A 13,316-nucleotide genomic window follows, 5' to 3' on the forward strand; every position below is an offset into this window, starting at 1 on the left:
TCTTTCTTCACTATAGCCTGAAATTACATTTCATGTTTGACAATTCTCAGCAAGGAGACAAAACAAGCTTATGAGTAAAATAATAGAAAGCAGAGCCACAGAGAGGACGAGAGGCAGGAGTCATCTCCCAAGTCCAAGTTCAACTTCTATATTATTAGACAAGGCCTCAGTGTCTTTGAACTGCAAGGAATTAATATTGATTGTAGCATGAGTAAAATCTATCTTCTACTCAACATGAAAAGTCACAGTCGTTTTGTTTAAAGACTCCAGAATTATTATAGGCAGAAACAAGTAGGTTCCACACCTATTTGGTGAAACGAGGAATCAGGAATGAGCATTCCCAAGAGAATACAATTACAAAAGTAAAATCACCTAGAGTTTTTGGGCTGCTTAAAAAACCCAGAAAGAAGTGCCAAATGGGAAAATAATCAAATTCAGTGGAAAAACTCACTTGAAGGTATCATGGTCAGCTGGGTTTCCACCCCTTTGTTGCACTTCAAATCCTGTGTATTCCACAAAGACTTGCTCCTTTCTAAAGGCTATGGTTCACATTCAACAGAATAGCAGCAACCACCATGAGCCTGAGGGCTGGCTAGTCTTTAGTATTCTGCCTTATTCAAAGAAAGGATCATTTCCCTCATTCCTAAAGATCTCTTAGGTCCATCACAAAAAAAAAAGGAGCAGCAGCCAGGCGCAATGGCTCACACCTGTAATCCCAGCACTTTGAGAGGCCAAGGGGGGAGGATCACCTGAGGTCGAGAGTTCAAGACCAGCCTGGCCAACATGATGAAACTAAAAATACAAAAATCAGCCGGGTGTGGTGGTGTGTGCCTGTAATCCCAGCTACTTTGGAGCTGGGTAACTGGCAGAGGTTGAACAATTTGCAGGTCTCAGAAGACAGGAAAATGTGGGAAAGTTTGAAATTCCAAGAGACTTGTTGAATGGCTTTGACCAAAATGCTGATAATGATATGGACAATGAAATCCATGCTGAGGCAGTCTCTGATGGAGATGAGGAACTTGCTGGGAACTGGAGCAAAGGTGACTCTTGTCACCTTTGATAAGATGGTGGTTGAGGAGAGGTCTTGGCAAGCAGTGATGTGTGAATGTAGTGAGGGGCCTGAAAATGGAACTCAGAGAGGACACTGGGTTTTAGAGGCTGAAACTACAGAAAGTCCGCTGCGTTCAAGGCCTGCTTCCACCAAAATCTAGCAGTGTGGCCTCAAACCATTTCATTTCTCTTGGCCTCAGTTTCTACATCTGCAAAATGGGATTTATAATCCACCCCAGCCCACAGAATTCAGAGTTATATGAGAAGGCTAGAAGAGCTCACCTACCAAGGGACTCTTTTAATGACAAGGTGGGGAAACTGAGGCACCGAGAAGGCTAGGGCTCTGCTAGCTGTCACCCAGAGTCTGATGGACCTGAGATGAGAAACCAGAACTCCTGCCCCTAGTTCCCCCGGCTTTCCTCAGGCTGGGGAGTGAGTGCGGTGAGATAGAAAGGGCAAGCCCTCCTGCTGTTTCTCTCTGGACAGGGGCGGGATGCTGGGTGAAGGGTGAAAGGAAGAGGCTGGAGAAGGGAGAAAAGCTCCAGCTCACACTAAGTCTGAATTTTTTTAAAATGCGGACTCCGTGGCCCCTCCCTTACCCGCCCCAATCCTCTCTGAAGTCCTGGTTGTGAGGGGCCAAGTCCCAAAGTCTGCTGCTCCGCCTCTCTGTGTGCAGAGCCATGGGGCCTTCACAGGCTGCAGTGGGTCCCGAGCCCCCAGGGCTGTGCCTGCTGGTCCTGACCAAGATCGCGGCTGCCGAGGTCAGTCCAGCGCCAAGGGCACAGGGCCAGGGCAGGCGGGGCAGGGCTACCCGAAGCGCATAGAGGCTGCTGGTGTCAACGTGACGTCTTCTGGGGCGCCTGGCATCCCTAGGAGTGGAAGCCGCTGATGAAGTCAAAGCTGCCTCCTCCTTCAGGAAGACTTTGCTCCCATAGCTGGCGAACAGGAAGCGGAGCAGCGCCAGGAGGATCTGCGGGCGCTGCTGAGGGCTTCTTTGCAGGGACAGTGCAGCAGGCAGCCAGGGACAAGACTGCACGGCAGCGCCCCATGGCCAGGGGAAGCTCAGAACCGGAGTCGCCCGCTGCCCGGCGATTCTCCATCCCTGGATCGGTACAGGGGCATTTGGACGCTGTGGGGAAGTCGCGGTCTGGGGATATTGGGTCCAGCCTTCGGGTAGAAGCAGGTGATAAACGCACTCAGGCCAGCCCGGAGCGTCAGCCACACTGCGGTGCCCACGATGCCCAGGGTGAGCGCCACGAGGCGCAGGAAATTGGCTAGGGTGGGAGCTCACTGGTAGGCGGCCCTGGAAGTCAAAGATCTGCTGCTCCAGCGCTGCCACCAGTTGCAGGCAGCAGAAGGCGAGGAGCGTGTGGCACCCGCGTACTCGCCCATCGCTCCGCGGACCTCTTTATCCAACCTTCAATAATTATTCTTTTTATTATATTCAATGATTATTCTACTTTTCATAGAGAGCAGCTGTCAGTCCAATAACACACTTAACAAATGATATACCTAGTCCTCAAGGTTAACAAACACATGAAGACCAGCCCAACCCTGAAAATCAGTTTGCAAACCTTCGCTATATCTGATGCCATTCCTAAAAATTTTTAGGGACAAGTTTTGTTTGTGGTAAACAACATAAGGTGGGGTGTGTGCTGAGCCCAAAGCTGACCAATTGCTCACAATTACTCATAACTACCCATTGACTTGATTTTATCAAACTTCAGACAGTCTTGTCTCCTCTCCTCAGGCCCCTGGACCTTGGCTCACCACCTAAGACTGAACAAGCACTAAAGGACAGACCAGCCCGCTAACAGCTCACTCCAAAAATGAGCGGGACTCCCAGAGAAACTATTTTTATTGGAGCATCCTGGTTTTGCCACCTGCTCACCCGACTGCCTGTCCTTCTCTCCAAGGAGGCTTCTGCCAGCCCTGCTTGTCCTTCCCTAGAAAAGGAAAGCCTTTTCCTGTTTGATCCTGAGACACCTGTAGATTGAGTTTGGAATATTCTCCCTATTGCAATAGTATTTTTGAATAAGTTTTATTTTTCCCTACCTCTGGTTGATTTTTAATTAATACCAGTAAGCTTGGATGAAAGCCTGCACACCTTAGGTGTGTGTGTGTGTGTGTATGTATGTACTTTAGCATTATCATGAAAGTAATAACAGTAAAATCAAACAAACACAGATGGATAAGCAATATGTTGGACTAGTATGAAAATGGCATTGCCAGCAGTGATATGATTTTTTTTTCAAAATGGTACACTTTTTGAAGTATAATCTTATTTTAACCTAAAATCTTACTATCAGAAAATGCAGTGTACATTAAAATGTTCTGAACTGCTTTTATTCATATATTAAATGGTTGTACTCAAATATCTACAAATTTGTTTTTCACTTATGTAATTGTCTTATAGAATGTTCAAAAGTCTTGCAGAATGTGAGACAATTTTCTATTGAATACGATCGCTTTATCATTGCAAGACATCAAACATCCCTGTTTCCTGCCAAATAAATGTACAATAGCAATAAATGTAAAGGTGTGTTTTGTAAAAAAGATATATTTTTGAGTTACAAAACAAGGATTTTAAAACTTGAATTGTTACAGTGAATATGTCTTAATACAGGCCAGAGTCATTTAGGTAAAAAATTACCTCATATCTATTCTTTGCAGTATCACTTAAAGGTGTTTATTTAGCGGCAAAGATTTTTTTTTTTGTGCCTAGAGGCAGATATTTTGCCCCATGGCTATTTACGGTATGAAACTGTATTTAAATGAGTGTACATATATAAAAGCTGCCATTCTGGCTGTAAACTATTGCAGGTTATCAAGATTAAAAAATAAACAAATAAAAATATTTCAGTTTTTCTATGAAATGTCTTTACTCGAGTCCAAATGTAGAGATATAAAATGCTTGAAATTCATAAAACCAAGTGTTTCACATATTTCAGTTGTGATGGCCTTTGTCCTACTTTTGTTAGTGAAGCAGGCAGACTGCATTTTTTCCCTCTCATACATCTTCAAATGGTAGACAGAAAAATTTGATAAAACTTCTAGGGCATTATCTGATGAAACACATTAAACACTAAAGGAGAAATACAACTTCATTGTTTATAAAAGACGTATAAGAAGGAAACCTGCATACATATATCTATCAGTTTTGTATTTTCAAGAAATATTTGCCTTAAAATGAACTTCATTAGAATATGTGTTCTCCCACAGAGCCAAGGAAAGTAAGTTAGACACAGGATCTGGAAGTCTACCTGTGTGATGTAATTACATTGAAAACATTCCACAAATAATGCAGAAATGTATCATTGTGACCCAAAATATTCTCTAAATTTTCTCAAAGCAATGTGGCCACATCTATTATCTTTTACTATGACTAGTCATCATTCCATGCATTTGAACATTACCTCACCCATTTGCAGCCTCCTATCTCTGCAATTAATTATGGCTAACATTCTCAGCAGTCCAAACATCTTGCAAGTGACAGCTTGAAAAGGCCTACCAGAATGATGTTCACTCTGCCACCTGACTAGCTTGTCTTCCATCTAGACATTGCAGTATGTAGAAGAGTGCTTTTAGTATTATAAATTTGATCCAACACGTGTTCAATTAGATGAAATCTTAAATATTGCACTACATGTGAATTGGGAAAATGTTAATTTGCTTCTGTAGTTTTAAGTGTATTCTCAGAGGCAGATGAAGACATATTACATCACTGAGTTCAAGAAATAAAGTAAATAGAAGAAAAAAGGTGTTATTTTAGTTTGGTTATGTTTATATTTGAAGTTTTCTTATCATACCTTATTTTTTGTTTATTAATTCCAGGGTAGAGTAGAAAAATATGCTCTCATATAATATAAAAATGATATGGGGAAAAGAAGTAAAAAATTAACTTAGAGACACCATTAATTAATTTCTTTTATAAATGAAACACTAGATAGTTTCTATTTGTTTTGACAAATAGATAATATATTTAGAATCAATGCTTTATTTCTTGGAAAGTGGAGTGAAAAATTTAAATGTAGTATTCAGATTGTATTATAACTGTGCACTACAGATCACATACATTTGTCTTTTCTTTGTATTATACATTATTTAATGGTAAGCATCCTTTCAAGGGCTATTTTATATAAGTAGTAAGGTATCTGGAATTTCTGAAATAATAAAAGTGACCTAAATCACTGTGTTTGGTAAATTCACAATACCCAAATAGCAGGAGGGGAGTGCTAGAGGTAGGGAGGAGAATGCTCATGTTCTCATTATTCCCAAACAGATTCTTAAAGTCTTCTCACTGGACACATGGATGCACCTCTGTAATACCCAATGTCTTAGCCACAACTGTCTGCACTTTTTAATGAGATACATTTCAACATTATTCCTTGTCACCTCAATATCAGATACTTTCTCATGTAATCTTTTACTTCTGAGGAGTTGAATTCTTGATCCATAAACTGATTCCATAGTTATGCATCCGTGGATGTTTTTAAATTATGTGAAAATTTTGTATATGCATTTTTCAGGGGAAAGTATCAGATCACCCACCTGGTGATTGTAACAAAAACAATCACTCCTGTTGGTATTTAAGTCTTAATTCAGAAAAATTTGCACACACCCTAAGGTCAGATAGTATTTTGTACCCTACATATAAAAACTCCTTTTTTTTTTTTTTTTTTGAGATGGAGTCTCACTCTGTTGCCCAGGTTGGAGTGCACTGGCATGATCTCTGCTCACTGCAAACTCTGCCTCCCATAACATTAATGATCACTGATCACAGATCACCGTAACGAATATAATAATAAGGAAATATTTTAAAAATTGTGAAGATTACCAAAGTGTGAAACCAAGACACAAAGTGAGCACAGGCTGTTTGTTAAATGGCACCAATAGACTTGCTTCACCAGGGTTGTCACAAACATCTCATTTGTAAATAAAGAAAAAATGTTCCTATCTGTGAAGCACAATAAAGAGAAGTGCAATAAAATATGTTTGTATTAATTTGGTTAACTTTATTCCAACTTAATGTAAATTAGTTTTAAAACAGTTTATAAAATTCTTAAATGAACCTGGCAAATTTAGAGCAATAATAAAATTATTTAAATTAGAAAAGTCTTTTTTAAAAAGGATAAATAACAAATGTCTCATTGGAATTATTAAAGTTGTTTCAAGTTCAGCTCTGAGGTTCTTAGAAACTAAAGTAAAAAAGTATGACCAGTTTCTGAAGTCAAGATAAAATCATACAATCTTTAACTTAGAAAATTATCTTCTGTGTTGTGTCCTAAGCATAAACAAATGTAAGGACTTGCCCTGACACTCTGTAAGTAGTTCCACTCCAATACGCCCTGCAGAAATATTTCCTGGCAAGAACAGCAAGTCAGAAGCCTTTTCAGCATGGCAAGGAGGGAGAGAGACTATGCTATTAAAAAAAAAAAAAAAAGATGAGGAGGAACAATAGTACCTTAGACAAGTGAGAAGTTTCAAAAGAGACATATAAGGAGAGCAGTTGCAATTATAAGGAGCAAAATATGGAATGATGAAAAAAGATACTTTAAAGAAAGTTTTCCTCAGTACTTTGCAATGCGCTTGCCACCTTCTGAAGAAAGCTGGCTCCTTCTGGAACCTTAGGGTATTTCGACTCATGCTTTGGAATGGGGTGACCAGCTACATCAAGCTAACTTAAATTCAAATTTGTGTTCATAGGATAAGAATAATTGGGTTAAATAAAATTCACTTTTAACCTAAAATGTCATTCATTAGTTTTGACCAACTTTCCTTACCACTGGCCACTTGGTCCTTGTCTTGTTTGACCAGGGTTGTCAAACAAGGTTTGTTGTTTCCTTCTTTGAAGGAAAGAGTCAGTGTTTCTTCCATTCCAATGCATCCACTTGAGGAATTTTTAATAAAATGGGCAATGAATGGGCAGCAGAAGAAGTTACAGGCCTGCTGATCAAATGCTAAGTAATAAACCCTGGAAATTCTAAACTCGTTTACATGAAGACCTTGCTTATTTTGTAACTATTATGTATTATCAAATGTATACTTAATTCTTTGAATGTGTTAGTATGTGTTCAAAGTACACCTTAATTTTATATATATATATATATATATATATATATATTTAAATTACATAAAATAAATAAGCCACTAAAAATTTTTAAACATTTTCTTATATTTCCTTTCAGTATTTTTAGGTGCATGCATCTGTACTTGGTAATATTGCTGAATGCATGTTTGCATTGACAAAGCCTCTCCCCTTGCCCAAACTCTAGTTGGGATCCTCTAAGCCACCTCTCAGCCTCAGCTTTCAGTGTTCATCCTAGTCTGGCCCACATCTCTCAGGTTTAGGAAGAAACTTGCAAAGAATCCCCCACTCTCAGTACTGATCACCTTTGATATCTGATCAAATTTGTTATCTCCCACCACCCTCCAGATGATTTCTGATCGGTCTGGCCTGCCTTCAGTAAGAATCCTGTTCGATCTGTTTAACCCAAATCCCCTTTGCCCCTGATATTTCCTCTTAGTATCCCCAGTTGAGCCAATTTTCAACCATTAAAAAAATCTTGGACAAAATTAAGTTCAGATAGGTTCCAGAGTGCTTATATTCAGTTCTTGGCTTTCTGAAGACCTGGCATATCCTCTTTAAATTGCCTCAATACAAGAAAATACAAAATGGAAAGAAGTAGACATTAGAAATTGGAAAAATGGAGAAATACAGGAATGAACATAAGTTTCTATTTCAAGTAATTAGGTAAATTGTAAGATGTTTATATTTAACTTTTTCTCATTAGCTTTAGCCCCTTGAATCTTTGAGAACATGTTATTACTATAGTTATCGAATGTTATATTTTTTATTTTAACGTAGAATGGTATTTTCACTCAAATCTCTTGAAACATATATTTATAGTCAATAGTTAAATTTTATTTAATATCAATTGTTCCTTTTTATTAGTATTTTCTTAAAAAAATAATATTGGCCCAGCGCAGTGGTTCACACCTGTAATCCCAGCACTTTGGGAGGCTAAGGTGGGCAGATCACTTGAGGTCGGGAGTTGGAGACCAGCCTGAGCAACTTGGAGACAACCTTTCTCTACTAAAAATACAAAAATTAGCCGGACGTGGTGGTGCATGCCTGTAATCCCAGCTACTCAGGAGGCTTGAGGCAAGAGAATTGCTTGAACCTGGGAGGTAGAGGTTGCAGTGAGCCGAGATCGCACCACCGCACTCTAGCCTGGGTGACAGAGCGAGACTCCATCTCAAAAAAAAAGAAAGAAAGAAAATGCCAGACATTTATTGAAGGGCTGGAATGGTATAGTGAAGTGTTCTGAGTCAGTTGGGCTCTGATTGATAAAGAGCTTGGCATGTTTGAAGGACAGCAAGGAAGCCAGAATAGCTGGAGCATAGCAGCAGGGAGACAAGTGCCACAAGATGAGCTGGAGAAAGGCACTGGGAAAGGTTTGTCTTTTAAGTGCTCTGAGAAGCAATTGAAGATTTGAAATAGAATAGTGACTTGCTTGATCACATTTGTACTTTTGAAAAGTTCCTCTGGCTGCTGTGGGGAAAGGCTTGAGTAGATGCAGGGTGGGAGAAGCATAACCAGCAGTAGACTCTTGTAGCAGGTTAGGTGAGAGATGGTGGTGGCCACGAGTGGGCTGCTAGTGGTGGAAGTGACAAGAAGCAGAAGGATCGGAGACAAAACTTGAAGATAAAAAGTCTTGAATTTGCTGATGATTTGCATTGACGAGGTGTTGGGGGAGAGGACTGAAGGAGCAGAGGAGAGTGACAAGGGACTGGATGCCATTTATAAGGATGGGGAAGACTGGGATGAAACCGGTTAAGGGAGAAATTTTAACCATGGCAAAATTAAGAGGGGTTTTATGTGAGAAAATGGAAATGCTAAGGAGGAAGTTGAAAATCCTGCTAATTTGGAGATCTTTGATTAAAACTAGAAATAAGAATGTGGGAAGCATCAACTTGCAAGATGCCCTCATTGTAGATAACACCATTTAGGATCTAGGCTCAAGCCCTGGGAAACTCCAGGGCTTTGGAAGTCAAATAGAGGAAGAACACGTACAGGAGATGAAGAAAGATTAGCGAGGAAGTCAGTGAATTATCCACAGGTGGGCTGCTGCCAAATCCAGCAGAACAGTATGCCAGATGTTAGGAGCATGAGTAAAATGAGAAAAGAGAAACGGCTTTTGACAACACTTCCCTACTAATAGTAGGGAAGAAGACATAGGTACAGATTCAAGTTGATTTGAAATTATGAAAGTGAGGTAATTGACCTGCAGTGGTTGCTGCTCAGTGAAATCAGCATAGTGATTACCTGAGCTAGGTTAGAGATTTGATGGGTAAGAAAGAACACCTGAGGGTAATCCTGGAGGGGGAAAAAAATAAAGTGTTTGCTGGAGAGAATGAGTTGGATTGCTGGACTTCAATGTGTGTGGGTTGAGTTTGTGACTTAAAAATGAAACCAGTCTATTGCTTGTGTGGCTTTTCCAAAATACCGTTATTCCGTTACCTATCTCTTACCCCAAGAGTAGTCACATTCTTATTTCTGGTTATTTTAATTCCTGGTGGTATTTTTATGTGATTAATGAGATAGTACTTGTTAATTTGATGATATTCTAGAAACCTGGTAAGTACTATGTACCTTGTCTTAAGTTTTGGTTACTTGATTGGTAAAATTATGCATGCACCATTGAATTACCTAATTCAAAATATATCCTTTTATTGTTTGACATTTGTCTTGTTTTTCTTTAAAATGTTACCTTTGTGGAGTAAACATTTTTCTTTATGCTGTTTAGCATCTTCAGATTAGTTCAGGGTATTGCTGAATGTGGTTGTTTGGAAGTAAAATGCTTTAGTTTTAGTTATATAGATTTTAATAAGATACTACTTTCTATATAATTTATCAGGTACTTTAGGCATTTTAATTTGCAAATTTAGGACAATTTGCTTTAACGTTTCTTCACTTTTGTCCATTGGATGTAATTTCCATAAAGTATTCATTTCCCTGAGTAAAAACCGAAACCAAACCGGCAACTAATGGTCACTGAAGAAAGAGTGATTAAATGCTAAGATTATAATGGTATTTGCATTTTAATGTTACCAGCTCTCTACAGTGTAAAGTTTATGCATTTATCTATTGCTTATGTTTCTCATTGCATTCTTTGGCCTACTGGTTTTGGTTGTTTATAGCTATAGAATATAGAATTCCTTATGGTTATCCATTTCTCCTTTTAAGTAGAGTGATAGTTGTTAGAAGAAAAATAACCCCCCAATACTTTCTTCTAGTGTTAATTCTTAAAGTGTGATTGACTTTTATTTACTTTTTGGTGCAGTAATTGCAGTTCATGAGTCAATGTTGATGTCATATAAACCTTAATTTTTAATGTTTCATTGTAGTGATGTCTCTGTAGCAGCAAACATTTAAGTTATTTGTTATACTTAAATGTTTAAATCACTGTTAGTGATTAGCTTATTTTGCCTTCCTTGAAGCAATTTGTCCTAAATTTCCATATGTTTGCATTTGTTTTTGCTGTTCTAAAATTCCTTAGTTGCTGGCTTTGACCTTTTATGTTGCTGAGTTTTACACATCTATTTTCTCAACTGCCATATCCTAGGAGGCTTGGAGTACCCATAATACAGTGAGCCCACCTTCCTGGTCCCCAGACATTTCAGGAGGTCGGGAAATTTTTAAACCCAGGCAGCTTCCTGGCAGTGCCATTTGGAGCATCAAAGTGGTAAATAAAATTGCATTTACATTCATATATCATTTCTGTCTGATTTGTTTTGCCCTACTGGGTGTAAAGAATTAAATCTTTCTTTTCTAGATTGAGCTTCCAGAAACACTTTTTAAATCTAAAAATTTTAATGTAAAGAAATAATATGCTTGCATTTAAAAATCAATATACATTTTTAATACCTCTTTTTATGGTTAATTCCTTTTGTTGTGATTACTACCGGTTTTATGAGGGAGAAGTCCTTGACATGTAGACCAAAAGGTAATTAAGGACCTTTTCATTCATGATATCATAAAACTTTGTTGCTTAGAAAAAAGCAAAAGAAAAAACTCCATTAATTTATTATGTTCTTATGGAGAAGAAATACCAAAATTGTGGCAGATTTCATTGTCTGTTTAATACCTTAAAATGACAAGGCTTTTTTCCCCATGACATTGGTTGATGGCTGTGCCAGTCCTTGAAGTGAGTTAAGTAGTGTGATGCATTTTGAAGAGAAAAAAATTAATTTGAAAAAGTATTAACTCAAAAGTTAAAATACTTCATTGACTGGAGATGACAGTTTTTCTTCATATTCTATATTTAATATTCTGGAATATGGCTGTTTAATTCAGACTAATCAAGGATTTTAAGGAATTCTAGATTATACTTTATTTTCTTTCATGACTGGAAGAACTATTTTTTTTTAACCTCCCTACCTCCCCCTGATATCATCCAAGATATTGAGGTATAAATATACCTCATTTGACAGTTTGATAATATAGACCACCAATTTTTACTTACCTTTTTTCTGGGTCAGCATTTCATGTTTGAGAAAATAAATTGAGAGATTACTGTAGTCTTGATTTTTAATCACTGACTTAATTTTTCAAAAATCTTTTATACCAGTTTAATAACAAAACAAACTCGGCCGGGCGCAGTGGCTCACGCCTGTAATCCCAGCACTTTGGGAGGCTGAGGGGGCAGATCACCGGAGGTCAGGAGTTCGAGGCCAACCTGGCCAAAGTGGTGAAACCCCGTCTCTACTAAAAATACAAAGAGATTTAGCCGTGCGTGGTGGCATGTGCCTGTAATCCCAGCTGCTAGGGAGGCTGAGGCAGGAGAATTGCTTGAACCCAGGAGATGGAGGTTGCAGTGAGCCAAGATCACATCATTGCACTCCAGCCTGGGCAAAGAAGCGAGACTCCATCTCAAAAACAAACAAACAAACAAAAAACCCAAAAAACTAACCTGACCCCATCTATCTGTTGTGCAAAGAAGCTGATGCACTTCTCAAAAGGGATCTCAAGGAGAGCAGGGTAAGAGAAGACAGGAGTGGCAGTTTGAAACTGGGAGCTGGCTGTATTTATTACATCCAAAGGGAAAAAAGCCATTCCTCCCATTCCTTTTGTTCATGTGTTTCTATTTTATGCTTACAGTATCATCATAAATTTTTGACTTGGAAACCATTCTGCTAAATAGGGAATCAGTTTATTTCAAACTATGATAAGGGACATCAGTTGAAGATATGACATATTATTTAACTTATGGTGAGGGAAACACCTAAGTATTTTCCTGAGCATCTGGATAATTTTAAATACACATAATTCATCTACTTAGGTAGGTGCCAGGTTTTTTCAAGGAGTAATTAATTAGTACGAACAAGGGTGAGGGGGCAGGGAACACCATACTCTGGTACTTAATGTCTGAAATTATCAGGGAATTTAACACATTTTCCCATAGGTTTATTTCTTGTGTAAGAAGTCAGATAAATTATTTCCATTTCAAGTATTTATTATTCAGATTATTTAAAGCAAAGCTTTCACAAAGCCTTTTGTCAGCTTTCCTGTAATCCTCAAATAATTTTTCCTGGCTGGACGCTTTGGCTTACTCCTGTAATCCTGGCACTTTGGGAGGCAGAAGCAGGAGGATCACTTGAGCCCAAGAGTTCTAGGCTGCAGTGAGCTGTGATCACACCACTGCACTCCAACCTGAGTGACGGATCAAGTTCTTGTCTCAAAAATAAAAGTAATAACAATAATAATAAATTTTCCTCTAAATACAATGGTGAATGAGGTAGAAATGTTGAGTTCATAAGAGAACTGTTGAATAGTGAAGGAAACTGACTTAATTTTAATGACAGGAAGAATACTGTTACACACTAGCAAAAATAAACTTTCATGCTGATGTAGCAGTACAGAATATGCTTCCAACCCAGGGACGCTGGAGCCAGGCTTGCTAGCTAAGCGACCTTGGACAAGTTACTTAACCATTTTATTCCTCAGCACACTCATCTCAAACGAGGATAATAAAACCTACTATATGGGATTGTTGAGAGTAAAAAATACTTAGATTAGTACATAGTAAGTACTCAATAGATGTTAGCTATTACTGTAATCACCGCGAGACCAGTTAATGAGAGAGTTCTTCCTTATCCTTACTCTATATTGAATACAATTTGTTGCACTTCGAAATATCTGGATAAGGCTATAGTTGTTGTCGTCACCGAGAATGTAGGAGTGGCAAAGAGAAAAATCATGC

At 38.5% G+C, this 13,316-nt stretch overlaps 1 long non-coding RNA gene across 1 annotated transcript; it reads left to right on the forward strand.

The window, feature by feature from the left end:
* Positions 1-1,923: 1,923 nt before the first annotated feature.
* Positions 1,924-3,919, forward strand: LOC105371215 (uncharacterized). Its single transcript, NR_160535.1, has 2 exons — positions 1,924-2,160; positions 2,801-3,919. It is a non-coding gene; the product is annotated as an uncharacterized LOC105371215 (long non-coding RNA).
* The last annotated feature ends 9,397 nt before the right edge of the window (positions 3,920-13,316 follow it).

The sequence above is a fragment of the Homo sapiens genome, chromosome 1 (assembly GCF_000001405.40).
Source record: "Homo sapiens chromosome 1, GRCh38.p14 Primary Assembly".
In the NCBI taxonomy this organism is placed as follows: domain Eukaryota; kingdom Metazoa; phylum Chordata; class Mammalia; order Primates; family Hominidae; genus Homo; species Homo sapiens.